Source organism: Homo sapiens, chromosome 4 (genome assembly GCF_000001405.40).
Source record: "Homo sapiens chromosome 4, GRCh38.p14 Primary Assembly".
In the NCBI taxonomy this organism is placed as follows: Eukaryota; Metazoa; Chordata; class Mammalia; order Primates; family Hominidae; genus Homo; species Homo sapiens.
The window spans coordinates 166,092,944-166,111,849 of NC_000004.12; the positions used below are offsets into that span (position 1 = coordinate 166,092,944).

Below are 18,906 nucleotides of genomic sequence, written 5' to 3' on the forward strand. Positions count from 1 at the left end.
AGTAAAACTCCATAACTCCCTAATTTGCATGACTTCTGCCCGTGCACGCCATTTGCGGTGTTTGCATTATGATTAACATTCCATTGAGATGATCTAATTTTATCTTAATAGAGGTCATGTGAAGGGGTGGCCTGCCTCTCCACACCTGTGGGTATTTCTCATCAGGTGGGACGAGAGACTGAGAAAAGAAATAAGACACGGAGACAAAGTATAGAGAAATAATAGTGGGCCCAGGAGACCGGCACTTAGCACACCAAGGACCTGCACTGGCACTGGTCTCTGAGTTCTCTCAGTTTTTATTGATTATTATTTTCACTATCTCAGCAAGAGGAATGCGCTAGGAGAGCAGGGTGATAATAGGGAGAAGGTCAGCAAGAAAACTTGTGAGCAAAGGAATCTGTGTCACAATTAAGTTCAAGGGGAGGTACTATGCCTGGATGTGCACATAGGCCAGATTTATGTTTCTCTCCGCCCAAACATCTCAGTGGAGTAAAGAATAACAAAGCAGCATTGCTGCCAACATGTCTCGCCTCCTGCCATAGGGCGGTTTTTCTCTTATTTCAGAATTGAACAAATGTACAATCGGGTTTTATATCAAGACATTCAGTTCCCAGGGGCAGGCAGGAGACAGTGGCTTTCCTCTATCTGAACTGCAAGAGGCTTTCCTCTTTTACTAATCCACCTCAGCACAGACCCTTTACAGGTGTCGGGCTGGGGGACGGTCAGGCCTTTCTCATCCCACGATGCCATATTTCAGACTATCACATGGGGAGAAACCTTGGACAATACCCGGCTTTCCAAGGCAGAGGTCCCTGCGGCTTTCCGCAGTGCATTGTGCCCCTGGTTTATCGAGACTAGAGAATGGCGATGACTTTTACCAAGCATACTGCTTGTAAACATTTTGTTAACAAGGCACGTCCTGCACAGCCCTAGATCCCTTAAACCTTGATTCCATACAACATATGTTTTTGTGAGCTCAAAGATGGGGCAAAGTGGCTGGGGCAAAGTGGCTGGGGCAAAGTTACAAATTAACAGCATCTCAGCAAAGCAATTGTTCAAGGTACAGGTCAAAATGGAATTTCTTATGTCTTCCCTTTCTACATAGACACAGTAATAGTCTGATCTCTCTTTCTTTTCCCTACAGTCATGTATTGTGATCCAATGGTAGAGAATGCACTGGGCATTTTAGGCATACACACATAGTTTACATAGATATTTGAATCCTCAAAAGAACTGTATGACATAGATATTATCCTCATTTTGCAGACAAAGACAGTGAAAATCTGGGTGATTAATTTGCAGTTTCTAAAATAGTGTCAAAGCCTGGATTTTATTCTAATTCTGATTGTCTCCAAAGATAGTGTACTTGCTACTATAGTAATACTTTCTCATGTAAAACTTTTGGATTAGGAAGAAAATGAATATAAAACTGTCATTCTTATTAGGTGAAGATTGAATTCTTCTTTATAGAAATATTAAGTAAATCTTTTCAAAATATATAAGTGACTAGGCTCATTTTATTTCCCTGTTTCATTCACAGCCATTCAGATACCCACGTGAGGAACCCCAATCACAATTTGTTAGGCAAAACGGGCCATGGATATTCTTTAAGCCTGCCCTGTCATTTCAGAAATGAGAAATTTGAGGCTAAAACATTTAATGGTAACTGAAATAGCACAAGAAGTTAATAACAGTTGAAATTAGAGTCCTGGCTTCGCAATTCCTGTTCCTTTATTATTCTGAGAATTTTTTATGTTACTTGTTTGTTTTTTCAGCTAGGTTGGAATTTTTCTGGTAGACTTCTTTTTTCTGTTACTTTCTAGTAGTCATACATGCTGAAATACTCTTACTTATGTCTGCTTTTATTTCTCCTCAAAATCTCTTTAACAGGTTCATTTATTCTACTCTTTCATCAAATATTTATTTTGCATCTGCTTTGGACAATGTAAATGTGTGGGAATTTTTAAGACAATAGAAGGGAATCCTGCCTATTGACAGCTTACAGTCTGATAAGTTAAACTTATGATTTTCAATTTATCTTTCAATTTCTGCTGACAAGACAGCCAAGTCCAGTACCGTATCTGTCAGCATTTGCTACGTGTATAAAGCATTTATTCATTATTTACTGTCTTCTAGAATATGGACGGCTATTTTTGATGGATCCTTAAGTATACAGTTTAATTTGCTTAGGTAAATTTATATTTCTGTATACAATTTTAATTTTATGCACAAGAAAAATTTCAAACACTATGAATTTTTGAACTAGGTGATTAGAAATGTTGTAATGTGTAATGATGGCTGCTTTTCTTTACAAGTCAAAAAAAAGTCCACGGAAAATGGACTTAATTGGAAAGAGTTCTTTTTTCCTCTGATAGTTTGCTCAAATTCTAATTCCAAATTTATTTTAATAGGTAACAAACAGTATTACTCCAGTCTTAAATAAGTTAATTAAAGGAAACAAATCTTTAGTAAAGAAAAAAATCCTGTGTCTTTTCTAAGAGGATATGGCTACAAAACAGAAAAACAGGAGAAACATGGAGAGAAAATAATTTTTAAAATCAAAGCATTTTCTCTTGGGACTTCTTTTCTGTAACATAAAACATCATGCTCTTTGTCAATGACATTCAAAAATAATATATTATTAAACTCTTTGGAAAGGAAATTATTTGATCTAAATCAATTAAATTGGAATGTTCACTAAAAGCATTTATAGGTCAAATTACAAGGTATCTCCTGGAGTTTAATACTTTACCAGGAAATAAACAAACCTGTCTTTCCAAATTAAAATGAAGTTCACCCTAGGCTTCTCTTCCCTTCTTGTTACCTTTCTTATTCAGCTTCATTTTCCATTTCTCAGAATTCTGTAAGAACCGCTTTGGCAGCTGTTCTTTAGTTGCTGTAAAAATGCTATTGCCAACATACTAAATAACTGGTTTTATATTTTTCTGACTTGGTAAATGAATAGGTAGATTTGATGAAATCTGTGATGAAAATGTGTTCACCGTATTTAAAAAGCATCTTTTAAAATGACCTATTACAATAAATGACCTATTGACCATTGCTTGAGTGGCCGGGAGGATTCTGGAAAACACTCAGAAGCAATTGCCCTCAGGCTGCCTATTTTATTCTGGAATTTCTCTCAGGGCATATTATAGGTTGGTGCAACAGTAATTACAGTTTAATAAAATCACACCTCTTTTGCATATAGCATTCAAATGTTCATTTCATTCTTTACAAATTCATCCTGTGGACTGAATTCTGTCATGGGTGTGTGTGTGTGTGTGTGTGTGTGTGTGTGTGTCACGGTTAGAAATTAATTCCAGATTTATTAGTTTGAGCGGTGATCCATAGGAATGAGGGTGTGCACTGCAACAGATAAACGAAAGCAGAAGCAAAACCGGGGGCGGGGGGAACTTCTTGTTGTCCCTAAATGCAATTTAAGGCATTTTTTTTAAATGTAGGCCATTTTTCTAGAAGTGTTTAATAAAGTTCCATAAAGACAACTTCCAGTGATTTTCAGATTCATAAAGCCTCTATGAACTCATTTTTCCTCTTCTGTTTAATTTCTTCAGTTCTTCCTTGATTTTTATTCCCAGCTGTGGCTGGCGAAGGGTTGCTTCTTCTGGATCCTGGTCTTTGTGGTGCTAACTTGTATCTGTGAGGCAGACACACAAAAGGCTGCCTGTACCAGATCTCCAGGTCCTCCCCTGCAGCTCTTCCTGGGCTGTGGAATAAAGTAATGCAAGTGCTGAAGCTATTTTAAAAAGCTGAAAGCAAAATATATCAGTCAATTCTCAAACTTGGAGAAGAGGTAGAATTTTTAAAAATCTGTAAATGAGATTACAGTGATTTACATATTTACATGTTGAATTCAGAAATATTTTTCACAAAATATTTTACTGGCCTTCAAAAATAGAATTTTTCCTTTCTAATAGAAGATTAATAGTGCTTTAAATTGTTGTTCAATTTTCCTGGTTTTTCATTTCATACCTGAGTGGATCGTAGAGTACAGATGATGGCATTTACATGTGCTCATAGGAAAATAATAACAATAATAATGGTAGCTTAAATTTATATGGGTTTTACTATGCCAGGCACCTTTCAAGCATTTTTCATATATGAACCTAAGCACTCTTCATCTGGACCCTATGATGTGAGTACTATGGATGATTCCCTTTTTAGAAAAGAAATTGTGGAAAAAAGTCCCCCAGCTGGTAAAGAACAGAGCCAGATTTGCACCTGGGCAATTTGACTGGGAGTTCCATCCCAAGAAGGGGCAAATAATTCTTGGAGTTACTGAGATAAGAAAACCACCGTAGTGGGAAAGGGAAGGTGCTTGGCTTCCAGTTTGTGGGACTTGGGAGATAAAATCCCAAGGCTAATTGGTATTCCAGCTTTCAGGAATATTTCCTCACATAAATACATTTGTAATAGTGGCACCTCTATCAGTAGGTTGTGTGAGATACTCATCTACCATTTGGAAGATGGAGGGACATTTACATTCACTGTGTAACACAGCCCAATGGGGAAGTCATTCTTGTGATTGGAACCCTAGCTGCAAGTTCCTTCATATGTTAGTCACACAAAGGTCTCTGAATTTGCTGTTGTTTATGACAATGCCCATAGATTTGCTTGGGCACACATGAATTCAGACATATGTGAAAGGGGTTCCATACCCGTAATTCAGAAATATTTTGTTATTTAAAAGTCAACAAACCACAATATGGGTAAACTATATTCAAATCTGAAAAGTCCAATTTAGAATTTCAGCTGCCTAACCATCTTCACTAAGGACTATCTGGTCACAGACTACCATCACAGTATTACAATCGTACTTGGCTATCCAGTGGTTTTGCTTCTCCAGATCTTACCACATTGGATTTCCCCTGGGATATTCCTCATTTTAGCAGTGAAACTCCTGCTTCCCGGAAACTCTTTCAATCCTTGACAAACAGGGACAGAAAGAAACTCTACTTTCTCCTGACACTTTTCATATCCCATTCTTTTATCTCCCTCCTAACCACCATGCTTGCTTGGATAGGTTGGTGGGGCATTGTAGGCTTTCTGCCTTTATTTAATCTCCAGTAATTAAAAAGTTATAGGGCTCTGGCCAGGTGTGGTGGCTCATGCATGTAATCCCAGCACTTTGGGAGGCTAAGGCAGGTGGATCACTTGAGGTCAGGAGTTCAAGACCAGCCTGGCCAACATGATGAAACCCTGTCTCTACTAAAAATACAAAACATTAGCCACATGTGGTAGTGAGCGCCTGTAGTGCCAGTTACTTGGGAGGGTGAGGCAGGAGAATTGCTTGAATCTGGGAGGCAGAGGTTGCAGAGACCTGAGATCACGCCACTGCACACCAGCCTGGGTGATAGAGCGAGAGTTCTTCTCAAAAAAAAAAAAAAAAAAAAAGCTTTGGGGCTCTGACTACAAAGTGTTCCTGAGAAGTGTGTTTGAAACCTTTTATTCTCTAAATTATACTAACTAAAAGGTTTTATGGACACTTATTTATTTCTTTGGTGTATTTACCTTGAGCAACAAAGTTCACTCAAAAATAACTGGTATAGCCTATGCTTATTAATTTATCTTTTTTAAAGGAGCTTTGAGGAACATTTACTATTTTTTCATGTAATAAACACAGGCTATTGTTGGATAGGTTGTAGAACTGCGAAGATAATTATAATTAATGATATATGTAGGTTTTTCCCCATCAAGTGAGATAAATATTTCTATCGAAGTAAAATACTACTATTGTATATATTCTATATAGAAAGTTCTATATAACACAAACACACGCAGAGGAGTTTTATATCTATTGTTGAATTTTAAGTTACTTCTTACTTCTTTGCATTTGGGGTTCTTAAATTGTTACGATTAAACTTGAGTTAATACTCTGGCATCTTCTTTATGAAAATAGTTATTTGAGACTAGAGACAGTATTAGGTAGAACAATTTTAAAAATTATTGAGTTACTAAGTGGTAGATTCTAAGTGATTTTCATGTTTTAAATTCTCAGACCTCACTAAAATTGGTACCATTATTTTCATCTGTATTTTACCCTTGAGAAAAATATGGCTCAAAGACATCACTTACCCAGAGTCACAGAGCCAGCAGGCACTGGGACTGAGATTCCAACCCAGGTCGTCCATGTCTGGGGCCTGGGTGGACACCCATGACACTATCTGACTCTCCAGTTGTGGAAAACATATCTGACGCTGGAAGTAGAAACAGAAGTTAGACAATGGCTAGGCTACACTGAAACTACACTGAAATTTAAATTGGACCCGTTAAAGCTCATTGACCTTACTCATCTTATTTTTCTTTCCTGGGCAGAGTGTGGCGGACGATTGAAAGCAGAATCAAAACCAAGAGATCTGTACTCACATGCTCAGTTTGGTGATAACAACTACCCAGGACAGGTTGACTGTGAATGGCTATTAGTATCAGAACGGGGCTCTCGACTTGAATTATCCTTCCAGACATTTGAAGTGGAGGAAGAAGCAGACTGTGGCTATGACTATGTGGAGCTCTTTGATGGTCTTGATTCAACAGCTGTGGGGCTTGGTCGATTCTGTGGATCCGGGGTAAATATACCACCAACAGAATACCCTAGACATGATTAAAGATGCCTATTGATTCATGATTGATATGTGTACCATTCACAAGTTGGCAATGCTTTTTGCAAAAAAAAAAAAAAAAGGCTACATTGTATTATAAATGGCTTGACAAAATATAACACGTCTCTACCCTTATCACTTCTCCACTTCTAATGAATTTGCCTGAATAATATCAGGTGAAACCGATGAAATCAGTAGGTATAATTTCTTGTCACTTTTCCATTGTTCTAACTTCTTATTATGCAATAAATATTTAAATACTTAATCTAACAGCAGCATATTTACACACACACCATAGACAATTCTGTCACGTTTCTGAATTAAAGCATAAAGGAAAAAAATAATATGCACACCATTCTAATTCACATTCTCTTTTTAACAAATATATTTGGAGGCGGTGGCAGGGTCAGCCACTGGTGTGTGTACACAGGCAGTGCTACAGAGACACTGTTCCATTGCAGAGTGTCACTTGTGCAGGTGCAGAGTGCAGGTACAGGTCAGAAGACGTCACCATGAGAAATAAGGAAAAGAAAAACATAAGGTTTTCTCAGTGCTTTTCCTCCAGGATTCACTGCATTAATATTTATATATTTATAGTCTTCTGAATACATATTTTGTCCTGAAGATAGTAGTCCCAGTTTTTCAAACGTCTACCAGTAGCTATTGCTTCAGTAATACTGTTGAACTCCTGCCCAAATGACAACTGAAATATAATGAAAAAGCTTCTTGATGCTTAGAGTATTAAAACAAGAAATAATGGACAATTTGGATTTTGGAAGTGGCTCTGCTCCAGAGCAGCTTCTGAAACACATTTAGTATCTCTTTACACTCTCTGAACCTCACTTTACTGATTTGTAAATCAAGAGAACTTGGCTTAAAAGTTTAGGGAAAAACACTCAAGTTCTAGAGAGAAAAGTGCCCAGAACTTAGAAAATGTAACGTATGTTCAGAGCTCAGCTACATCACCGACTAGTCGCGTGAGCTCTAGCATGTCATTTTCTTCTCCGAATCCCATTTTCTCCTCTATAAAGTGAAGAAGTTGATTACACCTACTCTCCAAGGTTGTTGGGAGGATTAAATTATATTCCAAAGACAAGTATTCCCAAACATGCGTTACACTGAAGAAAAAGTGATTCGTTTTATTGCTTGTTTACTTGCTTGTTGTTTTTGTTTTCCTTCAGCCACCAGAAGAGATTTATTCAATTGGAGATTCAGTTTTAATTCATTTCCACACTGATGACACAATCAACAAGAAGGGATTTCATATAAGATACAAAAGCATAAGATATCCAGATACCACACATACCAAAAAATAACACCAAAACCTCTGTCAGAACACAAAGGAATGTGCATAATGGAGAGAAGACATATTTTTTTTAAAACTGAAGATATTGGCACAAATGTTTTATACAAAGAGTTTGAACAAAAAATCCCTGTAAGACCAGAATTATCTTTGTACTAAAAGAGAAGTTTCCAGCAAAACCCTCATCAGCATTACAAGGATATTTGAACTCCATGCTTGATGGTATTAATAAAGCTGGTGAAAGGGCATCATATACTTCAAGGAAGACTCTACAAGCTTTTGTTCACAGCTTGAAATAGATGCCTCACAATTCAGACAGTTTAATTCAGGAACTGTGACCCTGCAGTGTTCTTTTTGACAATTTGTCAAGATTTAGGGACATAAAATGATCTTGCAGGTCGTAAACTGGAAAACAGTATTTTGGTTGTCTTAGGATAATTGCTGACTTTGTATCTTGGATACAGTGTAAACCAGATCCATATAAGGTGAATGTGAAATGGGAGTCTTCTGAGGGTGATTTGTACTTTCCATGTGTATGTGTGTGTCTGGTGTTTGGAAACTGGGATATTTCAGCTTCATTATTTCCACTTGCAGGCCAGCTTAACCTCTGAAACACAAATGATCTTGAGACCACTTTAGTGTACTTACATTTAGATGAGTTTGAAATCTCAATGGTGTCTAATTATTGCAGTTAAATTCTAGACATCAGTTCTTTAAGTCTCAGAAAACGCCCAGTGAATTGGTAAACTTAGTTCTTTTTTTTGGAAGTGCTGCCTTTTCACACCAAATCCAAGAAGCCTGTGATGTCTTATGAACCTTATGAGAAAACTCCGAAGAGGTGTGAGCAGGATTCTTCTGAATGACTGTCTGGATGGTTCATTACTCAAGTTACTGCTGCTGCTATTGTCTTTCCTTTGTTGTCGATCTGTTATTGTTGTATTATTATTGTTGATGTTGTCATGGTTAATCTATTTTTTAAAATTGAAATGAAGCAGAAGTAGGCCTTGTGAGAACTGAAAGGTCTCTTTCATTTTTCTCTTCCTGGGATTCATTTTTTCAAAACACAATGCTGGAAAAAAAAGATTTGTTTCTGAAAGACTTCTTATGGTGCTATTCCATAAACTTTTTTTCAAACAAGTTTTTGACCTTTGAGCCAACCCACCCGTAGACTACGAATGTCTCCCTATGGCTGGTAGCATTTGAAGACTAAAGACTTGTCAAATATATCAAGAGTATATCATTGCAAGGGCAGCACTTGTCCTGTGGAACAACTACTTATAATGCCTTAGAATTCCTGCACATGATCAAACAGATCCTCCTAAAACACACCTTTTGAAATGTTGAACATAATAGTGTATGTTAATTAACAGCTCTATGAAGAAAATCCATTTCCATGACTGAAGCATTGGATATAAATATGGTGTCCTGCTTTTTTTGTAGAAAATGTAATTTGAGGATGAATTTTCTGCTTTAAAGGCATGTGTGTTTTTAAAATTAATGAATGTAGATGTGTGATTGTCTGAGTGAGTGAAACTACAAGAGGTAAAAAATAATGGGTGGTTGAAAAGTTAAAATGTATGTGCCAAGTTCTACTAGAATTCCATTTGAAATAGCACCTTCCTTAGGTTTCATGGACAAATAATGGGAACTTCTAATTTTGATCAATCCCATTAAAAAAAGGCTCTTTCCTTTAGAGAAACTCTATTTTGATGTCAATATAGATTACTGTATGAAGTAGCTTTGTGTCTGTTACCTGTCCATGAGCATACAACATTGAATACAATTGGGTGTATTCTTTCAGTTTTACACAATTAAAGTATACACACAGATGTAGCTTATCTGTTTTTTTCTTAAATTGTTGCCCTGAAAAAATTTCTTGCATATGAATTGTAAAATGTAAATACATTTTTATAACCAATGTTTTGATCTTATTGAATGTTACTTTGAAAATGTATAACTATTGCCTGCAATGTAGATGAGCCTTTTAGTAGAGCTGATTTATTCCAGTAACTTCTTCCATATTTTCTCACTAATCTCCCGTTAGCCAAAATATGCCAGAAATGGGAAAGAGAGGAGAAAAAGTCATTAACATTAACACCTATACTGTTCTATACTACTCCTACCCGTGTGCTAGGAATGTGCACTAGCTCTTTTTAAATTCCATGCTACACTTTGAGGACTGTCATCATGTTCTCGTTTTGTAGTTCAGAAAGTGAGGCTCAAAGAATTTATGTAACCTTCCCAGAGTCACAGTGTAAAGTTAGATGTTGAAACCCAGTTTATCTTATACAAATGAGCCTCTGCTTGTTCTACAAAGGTAGTAGAATCAATCTCGACCTATATAAATAGTAGATTTTTTATGGTGAAACTTTCCCACATAAAGTAAATTTTAGGGGTGAATTAGAGTAAAACTTACAGGATAAGCATTTTGCTCTTTTTAAGAACAGCATGAAATTTAGAATACCAATGATAGCTATCTTTAAGAATCAGAATTAGTACTAGAAATTTAAAAAACCCTATAGTTTGGAGTTAGTATGAGCCTTTTGTGAAAATAAATATATTAAATTATTTTGCCTGATGTGGTAGGGGAAATGTATTGCTCTATATTAAGAAATATTCTGGATATTCTGATTGACATCTTATTAGGCCATAGTGAGCTATGCTCTGCACAACTGAGAAATTAGGTATTTAGAAGGCATATAGAGATGTTGTCATAACTAGGTCTTCAACGTGAAAATTAATTTTTATTGTATCATGTCAAGTATCAGTTTACCACATATTATTTTTATATTAATTCAACATTTGCCTTAAGTGTGTTGTTAAATGAAAGTACAGACAGCTTCATTGTTGTATTGTTAATAATTGTTACTTACTGCTCCAGGCATTTTATTAAATTAATTTTTTAAATTATTTTCCACCCTACATCAGTATATTGGTTGTGCTTTATATTTGCCAAAGTCCTAACTGACTATACATAGAAAAAAAAAAAAACACTGTTCTCACTTGATTTTATTAAATTATTTTTAAAAGTCAATTTTGAAAATAACTGTATTTTATTAAGGAGATCGTGACTTAACTTAAATGGACAAAATAACTTTTTAAAAGAAATGGATGAGAAGTAATTGTGTTTCCAAAACCCTCAAATATCCCATTCCTATACTGGCTGGATTTTTGCTACCTGTCGCTCATTTTAATATGTCACAGTATGAGATTCAAATTCTGTTTAACTTTGTTTTAAAATAGCTTGGTCTCTTTTATTTGGTTTGTAATACTGCTGTATTTTTGGTGGTAAGCTTCAAATATCAAATTTTGTTCTGCCATGTAGAAAAATCTCTAAAAGCATCAAATGACTAATTTTATTTTTGCAAGGTTAAAATTTATTTTTAAAAGAAACATTAAATTATATCTTTATGTAGATTTAGAAGGACTGCAACCCTATGTGACATTATAACTTACTTAAAACAGTTATCAAATATTTGGAAACTATTGTTTACTAATAAGAATAAGACTTGCCTTATGGAAAATTTTTGATACCACTTGTTAAATCAGGCATGGGAGGAGGAGAGCAGAAAATATAATTGCCTTCTAAAGATATATAATTCGAATTGCAGTAATGCTTTCTATTTTACAACAACAAATGTGTAATAAGAACTTGTCAAAAAGAGAAAAAAGGTGGCCTGTGAATGAATTGAAAGTTCTTATGCTTCAATGCATGGTAATTGGTTTCCAATGAATATTTAGCTTTTGGTTTTTTATGTTATTGTTATAAAACTGAGAAATTTTGTCATTAGATTAGGAAACAAGAAGTGGAAAGGCTGACTCTGATATTTTGTGAAATAGTGTTATTTGTCCCCAAACTTTCTTCTGACATCTACATTTTCACTGTCTGGTTTCCAACCTGCCTAACTTTCCCTCACTCCAATATATTGAACCTGAATCCAAGCTGGTCACGTGACTCCAGTTCCAGCCATGACACCCTAATGCAGGTACCCATGCAGGATGAAAACAAAGGAATTATAGGGCTCTGAGCACGTTTCACTATATATAACCTCCCTCTCATCCAATATTCTAAGCAGCAAATGAATACAATGAATATCAACTTCTAACTTCAAAAAACTTGTAGGTGGAAATGTATCTGCATAAAAAGCAGTTGAAAAGAGATCTATTAAACTCTACACAGATTGAGGCACTTAGAAGGTCCTAGCGATCAGGGCTTATCTTTATTTATTGCCAGGTTGGAGGTATATGAGTAAATATTGACACTGTTTCTGTTGTTATATTTCTATATGAATACAAGCTAACGGCTTCACCAGTCCCTCTGACCTTACTTTGTCTGTCTGTATTGTCCTTATATCTGGAAAGTTACTTATATAACATTTTATTTTTGCTCAACTATCAAATTTTCAGAGCATACTTGCATCTGAAAACAAATAGCAACGAAGGTTACTAAACTGATTTACACTATTTTAAACATGTGCTCAATGTTTCAGTGTATTTTGCAAATTACATATTTAAAAATAGATTCAATGGTGCTTCTTCTATTGAATAATATTATAGGATGATTATATTAGCCACAATATTTAATTCTACAACAAATCTAAGAAAGAAAAAGTTGCATTATCATTCAAAAGCTGTTAGGTTTTTTTTTTTTTTTTTGAAGAGCAACTGTAAACATTTAGCTAAATATAATAAATTTCCATCAAAATATAAAAATGCATCTATATTCCCTTGTAATATTTTTATGTTAGAATTAGTGCCTCACAAAAGTGATAGCTGACATTGAAAACACAGTAGTAATGTCACCGCGGTAATAGAGTATAAGAGGAATTACTTTAAGGAATGACATTAAGAATGTTTAAACAGAAAGATTGCCCAGAAAGGACAAAGTGAAAGGATTATAGATAATAAGGCTTCAATATGTCAACCTCCCCTAAAAATTATTTAGTGGCTATTCCTGAAGGGACTATAATTGAGACAAAATGTAAATAGCAGGAAAATTTTCCTTGGGAATCATAAATTTTTCAACGTTTCTTTATGAAACATTTCTTTATGAAAAATTTTTTCATAAAGTTTTCAATTTTTATACTTTTACTATATGTGTATTAGATGTGTTTGAATTCCCTGGGATTAAAAGGTCGCTCATAATAAGTTTTGCCATTTTCAAACCAAAACGCATAGTACAATGTATTTTACTCACTCATTTATTCTGTTTATTCACTGAACAATATGCTTCATACTGTGGTAAGTACTATGAATTCGAGATAAAAAAAGAAAAAGTAGCAACCTTTGCTCTCATGCAGTTTACATACTAAAGAGATAAGCATTAATTTAAATAACCCCCCAAAGTTGAAATTTCAGTAATGAAACATGCATGTGTATTCTACTGCCATTTGGGAGCATTCTGCAAAATTGTGTGGTTTGTATTTTGAGACTAGCAGCAACATAAACATCCTTGGTTCTGCATTTGAGCATTTAAAAAAATTCAGTTGTCCTATAAAAGTAAGTTTTTCTTTGCATGTATTACTTGTATTTTTAATTTATAAATTACTGAACCTCAGGATGGACAATTGGGGCTTTTTGTAAACAATATGTTTTACAAAAAGAGTTACCGAATACTAGTACCAGCAGCACTTGATAAATTGTAGTTCTAAATCTGAAACAGATTTAACCCATTATCTCCAATCAATGCTGCCCTAACTGGTGGAAAAAGGAGTCTTTTTACCAATAGTGTGATTGCAGGACAGTAAAATGCCTCACTGTCTCACTATTTGCTTCTCTTCCAAGTCAACGAGTGATTTTTTAAAGGTGAGTAAAGTCCCTAGAATGCCTAGCTCTCTCAAGAGCATGCGTACAGGTGCATGCACACACACACACACACACACACACACACACACGTGTGTATATATACAAAAGATCTTTGGACGCACATACCTGCAACCTAGGCAACCTATTATGCACACAGATAACGCCTCATAGAATATGATGCCACAATTTAGAAAAATCTATAGAAAGATCAGGTAAGAGTAATCCCAAATCATAAGTAACAGAATTAGACTCTAAGAATTTTAAATGCTGGAATGATCAAATGTAGAGTATAAAGAAAAGCACATTAAAATAATTAAGGAAAGGAAATCGAAATATGTGGAAAAGCTATAGACACTTTCAAAATATTGAGTAGATTTTTAAAGAATAAGTTAAACTTGCAGAAATGAAAAAATACAGTAATTGAAATGAAAAATGTAGTCGATATGGTTGATGGTACGATTTATGAGGTGGAAGTATATAAGAATCACAGAACACAACAGAGAGACAAACAGATGAAAAAATATATTTTAAGAGACATGAGAAGTAGATGTGAATGTTCAATATGTATTTTTAGGAGTTACAGAGGAAGACAATATAGACAGTGAAGGAGAATAAAATATTCAATATAAATATGTGAAATGCCCCAAAACTTTTGGGAAACATGTATCTTCACATTCAGGAAACACAAAAAATTCCCAAGGAAAATACATAAAAATAAGGCTGCACTTAGAAAACGCATAAAAATAAAGCTGCACTTAAAGCTAAATACATAAAAATAAAGATTAGACACATAGTACTGAAATTGATTAATACAAAGTTAAAAAAATATTAAAAGTAGTCAAAGAAAAAGGCAGATCATCAATAAGAAGGTACTTTTAGAAATATAGCAGACTTTCCAATACCGAATATAGTGAAATCAAGTCTTCCTGATATCAAGAGTAAACAATTGTCAACCTAAATTTTTATATCCTGTTAAATACCACTTACAAATAGGAACTAAATGATATGCAAGAAGGATTAGTTATTCAAGAATTGGTGGTTAGGTGTCAATTTAAAATATTTACTACTATAAAATAATATTATCTTGTTACAATTAATGTGATTAATTATAATATTAATGAATAATTCTAAAGGAAAGTGGAAGTAAATATAAAACAGTAATATAATATCATGTACAACTAGAGAGGATTAATTGAAGTTGAAAAGTTCTAAGGTCCTTGTAGTGTTTAAGAAGAGGATTACTTTAATATTTTGTTAAATGTTCAGGGTAAAATGGTAGGCTAACCAAAACAACAAAAGTAGGATATATAATTTCTAAACCAGTAGAGAGGGAAAGATAGCATAAAAATAATAAATCTTAAGGATTTTATAAAAGGAAGATTAAGAGGCATAGAAAAAGTGAGAAACATAGCACAAAATAAAATGGTAAAAAGACAATAATAAGTAATATTTAAAATGTAAAACACATCTTCCAGGCATTTTTCTAAGTGTCTGAGATAGTAGTTCATTTAATTCTCACAGATATGTGAGTTAGAATTTATTGTCCCCATTTTATGAGTGAGGAAATAAATAAAAAATACACTAGTAATTGCAATAAATGTAAGTACACTAAAATTTCCAATTTAAGAAGAGGCATATTCAGATTGGATTAAAGTGTCATCCATGAGCTTTTAGAAAAGATGCTTGTAAAAAAGTATGAGAAAAGCTGAAAGTGAAAAAATATATTGGGCATATTTTAAGCTAATGATAGCTGATGTTTTTAGGCATAAGAGACTATTTGGAATAAGATTAGCAACTCCAATGATAAAAGAAACTGCATCTAGAACATTTAAAAATTTCTGATTAATGTAAATCTAGAGCCTCAAAATATATACAATTATCAAAATCATAAAAATGTAATTCATTATGATCATATGAAGATACTAAGATCTTAGTAAGAGAGATAGTATGATATAAGGTATTTGCAAGATATATATCTGACAAAGGATTAGGAACCAGATTATTTTTAAAACCCTCAAATTCAATGAGATACAAACAACCCCATCGATGAGGAATTGGCAATCTACATCTTGTGAGTCAAATTCAGCTCACTGCCTATTTGTGTCCACTCCATGACCTAAGAATGATACATAAAATGACTGTTAGCCTTTTGGCAAGAAAAGTTAAGACTTGAAGACATTGTCTGTTGGCCTAGAAATCCTAAAATGCCACTTGGTCCTTTAAAGAAGAAAATAGGCAACCTATGTAATCGATAAATGTGCAAAGGATACACACAAGCAATTCACAGAAGAGGAGAGCAGAATGGTTAAAAAAAAAAAACAGATGAAAACATGTTTGACATTGCTGTTATTTTGGAAAATTCAAATTTAAAGAATAGTATACTATCTTGTATCCATTGCATTAGTAACTAAAGCCTTAAACACTATCAAGTGTTTGCAAGGATGTATAGCATAGAAACTTCTACGCACTGCTGACAGAAATGCAGTAACCAGTAATGCAAACATTTTGGATAACCATTTGACTCTAATACTTGCAGATGCTCTTTTTCACTGACCATAAATTTAATTCCTTGCTATAGAAAAACTCTCATTTTGAACTGGTTTTAGGAAGTCACCTGAACTCCAGTAGCTGGGCTACAGGGAAGCTGTGCGGTCTTCCAGAGCCTACTGAGAGAAGCAGAGAAGGACACCAAAACTAGGAAGAGAAGCCCCTTCCTCCAGCAACATCCTGCGTGGTTCTGTATTGATGCAGCTTCACATCAGGAGAGCAAAGGATAATTTTTCAAAGGGACCAGCTCCATTTTCTACAGCAGGCAATGAAAAACATATTTAGAATTGAGAAGCAATAAATAGACAATTGGTACATATAATATGACATAATATTAGAATATAAAGGTACATTATGTATTTATGACCTTTACACAATTTTAATCAATCCACAATCATAAGAATTAATTATCTGGCTATATTAAAAACAAAAATTTATATGTACCATAAATTATAAAAAAATTGCCAGCTAGGAATGCCAATCTCCTCCTTCTCTTTCTCTGTTTTCCCCTTTAGCATTTTACAACATGATCTATGATTTTTTAAAAAACATGTTTTCAAGAGATTTTAAGATAAAATGTTATAATTCATGTGTATGTAGATTTTTAATTCAGATTCAGCATTTATAGAGTGCACAATAACCTTGTGAGATAAGTATTATTATTCCAATATTACAGATGGGAATCTTGAATATAAAATACATACAAGAGCACATGATGTCTGTGATGAAGAGAATCCCTTTAAAGAGGGGTAGGTATATAAATTATATTTAAATTTAAAAAGTAATCATAAATTCAGATTTTCACTTTGCTCTTTATAGTGTGATTTTAAATGCTAGTATGTTCAAAATTATTTCCCTTAAAAGCAAAAAAAGTCATTAGCTTTCCCATTAAGTACATGATTTTCATGATTTTATGCAGTTTGATTAAATTTTGTTGATTTCTATTTAGAGTTATAATAGAGTAGCTTGCCTAAAACTAATATATTCCATCAAGAATAAACAGAAAAGTGGGTTAAAACTTTTAAAAAGAAAACAATTCTATGTTTAAGGCATCCTCAAGCTTCCAACAGAGCTAGGACTTGAGGGATCAAATACTCAGATAGAATGGAACCTGTTAACAATGAAGCAACATTTTATGTTGTACTTTTACTATCCAGAGGTAAGCTCATTCTTGATGCAGAGTCAAGGGCTGTAAATCTGTGCAGAGGTTGACTGTTAATCTTTGCCAAAATGTACTTGACAGAAAATGCTGAATCCATAATTCAATTAAATATCTAATTACGGAACACTGTAGGAAAATTGGAACTATTTTTGAACAATTATTTTTTGAAAAATCACAGGAAATCTATCTCCTAAAGTCACTATCGTATATTAGAAGAAAAAGGACAACAAATGATGTAGTTACTAAGAAACAAAATGATTTTAAAAACCTAATAATTTTCAGTGGAAGATAATCGTCAATAAATACAGTTAACAACTCAAATGAGAATCCAGAAGTAAAAATGTATTTGAGTTATCCTTAATTTTAGCCTTCTACAGAGGATTGTCCTAACTTCAAGGAACATTATTAAAATGACAATTTCATAAATCATTTTTATTCATGTTTTCTGTTTTATTAATTTTAATGAGATCAAGATTGTACTTCAATGTGAGAAAAATATTCCAAATGCCAGATATTATAAAAGATTTCTGTTAGCGTGTTATCTATGAATTATAAAGATAATATGCATTTTATGCTGCAGTTTCCTTTAAGTAATTCTGTAGAGAAAGGCAAGGTAAATCAATTTCATACTATATCGTGCGTCAAATATATAGCTTTTGTTATAAGATAATACGCTTTAGAAAGCACTACAGAAAAGGTTTTGAAAATTATCTTGAGTGCACTTCTCAGTATGCTCCCAAATTACTTGTCACGCTGATTTCGTTTATTCTTATGTTGATACTTTTTCTGTGCAATGTTTTGAGATCCTCAAAAGCAAGTAGATGCTATTTATTTTTTTCTGTACTTACACAGAACTGCACACTAAAAGACCTCCTATATAGATTGCTTAAATTGAATTGAATTGAAATGAGATTGAATTAAATTAAGTTGAACTAACCTAATGTGCTAAAAATTACATAACTCAAAAAATGAGTACTTGTCACGTTAAGATCTGGAATATTTTCTGAGTAACACTGATATGAAGTTAATAAACCATATGAGTAATACAGAAAGAGATTGTCATTTATAATAATGAAGATGAAATATGTTATCCTTCTTTCTTCATAAGTATGTTTAGTTTGGTTACATTACAAAACTGCGAAATTACTTTTCTAGAATAAAAAAGAGACTTCTCTCTTTCTCTCTCCAATTTGTCTCATCTGTATTTTAAAACAAATTTGGGTTAAGATGCTAGGGTCATTTTACAGCAACTCAAATAAATTAGATTTTCAGCAATAAGGAAAACTTATATTTCAATTTTTAAGCAAGTATTTTTCTTAACTACCTTAAGCTACCTGTATGAAAAGATAAGTCATTTTTTAATCCCTTAAAAAGACTAGCTTATCAACCTATAATTTAATCTGTAAATGTAAGAGTTGTTTGTTTAATACAGAAGAATGATGCTAAACTTGTACATATTTTACTTCCAGTTG

The 18,906-nt window shown here is 33.8% G+C and overlaps 1 protein-coding gene across 1 annotated transcript in view; it reads left to right on the forward strand.

Moving 5' to 3' along the window:
• The window catches only part of TLL1 (tolloid like 1), a 231,221-nt gene extending 219,707 nt beyond the window's left edge, over positions 1-11,514 (forward strand). The window contains exons 20-21 of the mRNA NM_012464.5: positions 6,334-6,584; positions 7,799-11,514. Of these exons, the coding sequence (NP_036596.3) occupies positions 6,334-6,584; positions 7,799-7,933 (386 nt within the window). The 3' untranslated portion in view covers positions 7,934-11,514. The remainder of the gene's footprint in view (positions 1-6,333; positions 6,585-7,798) is intronic.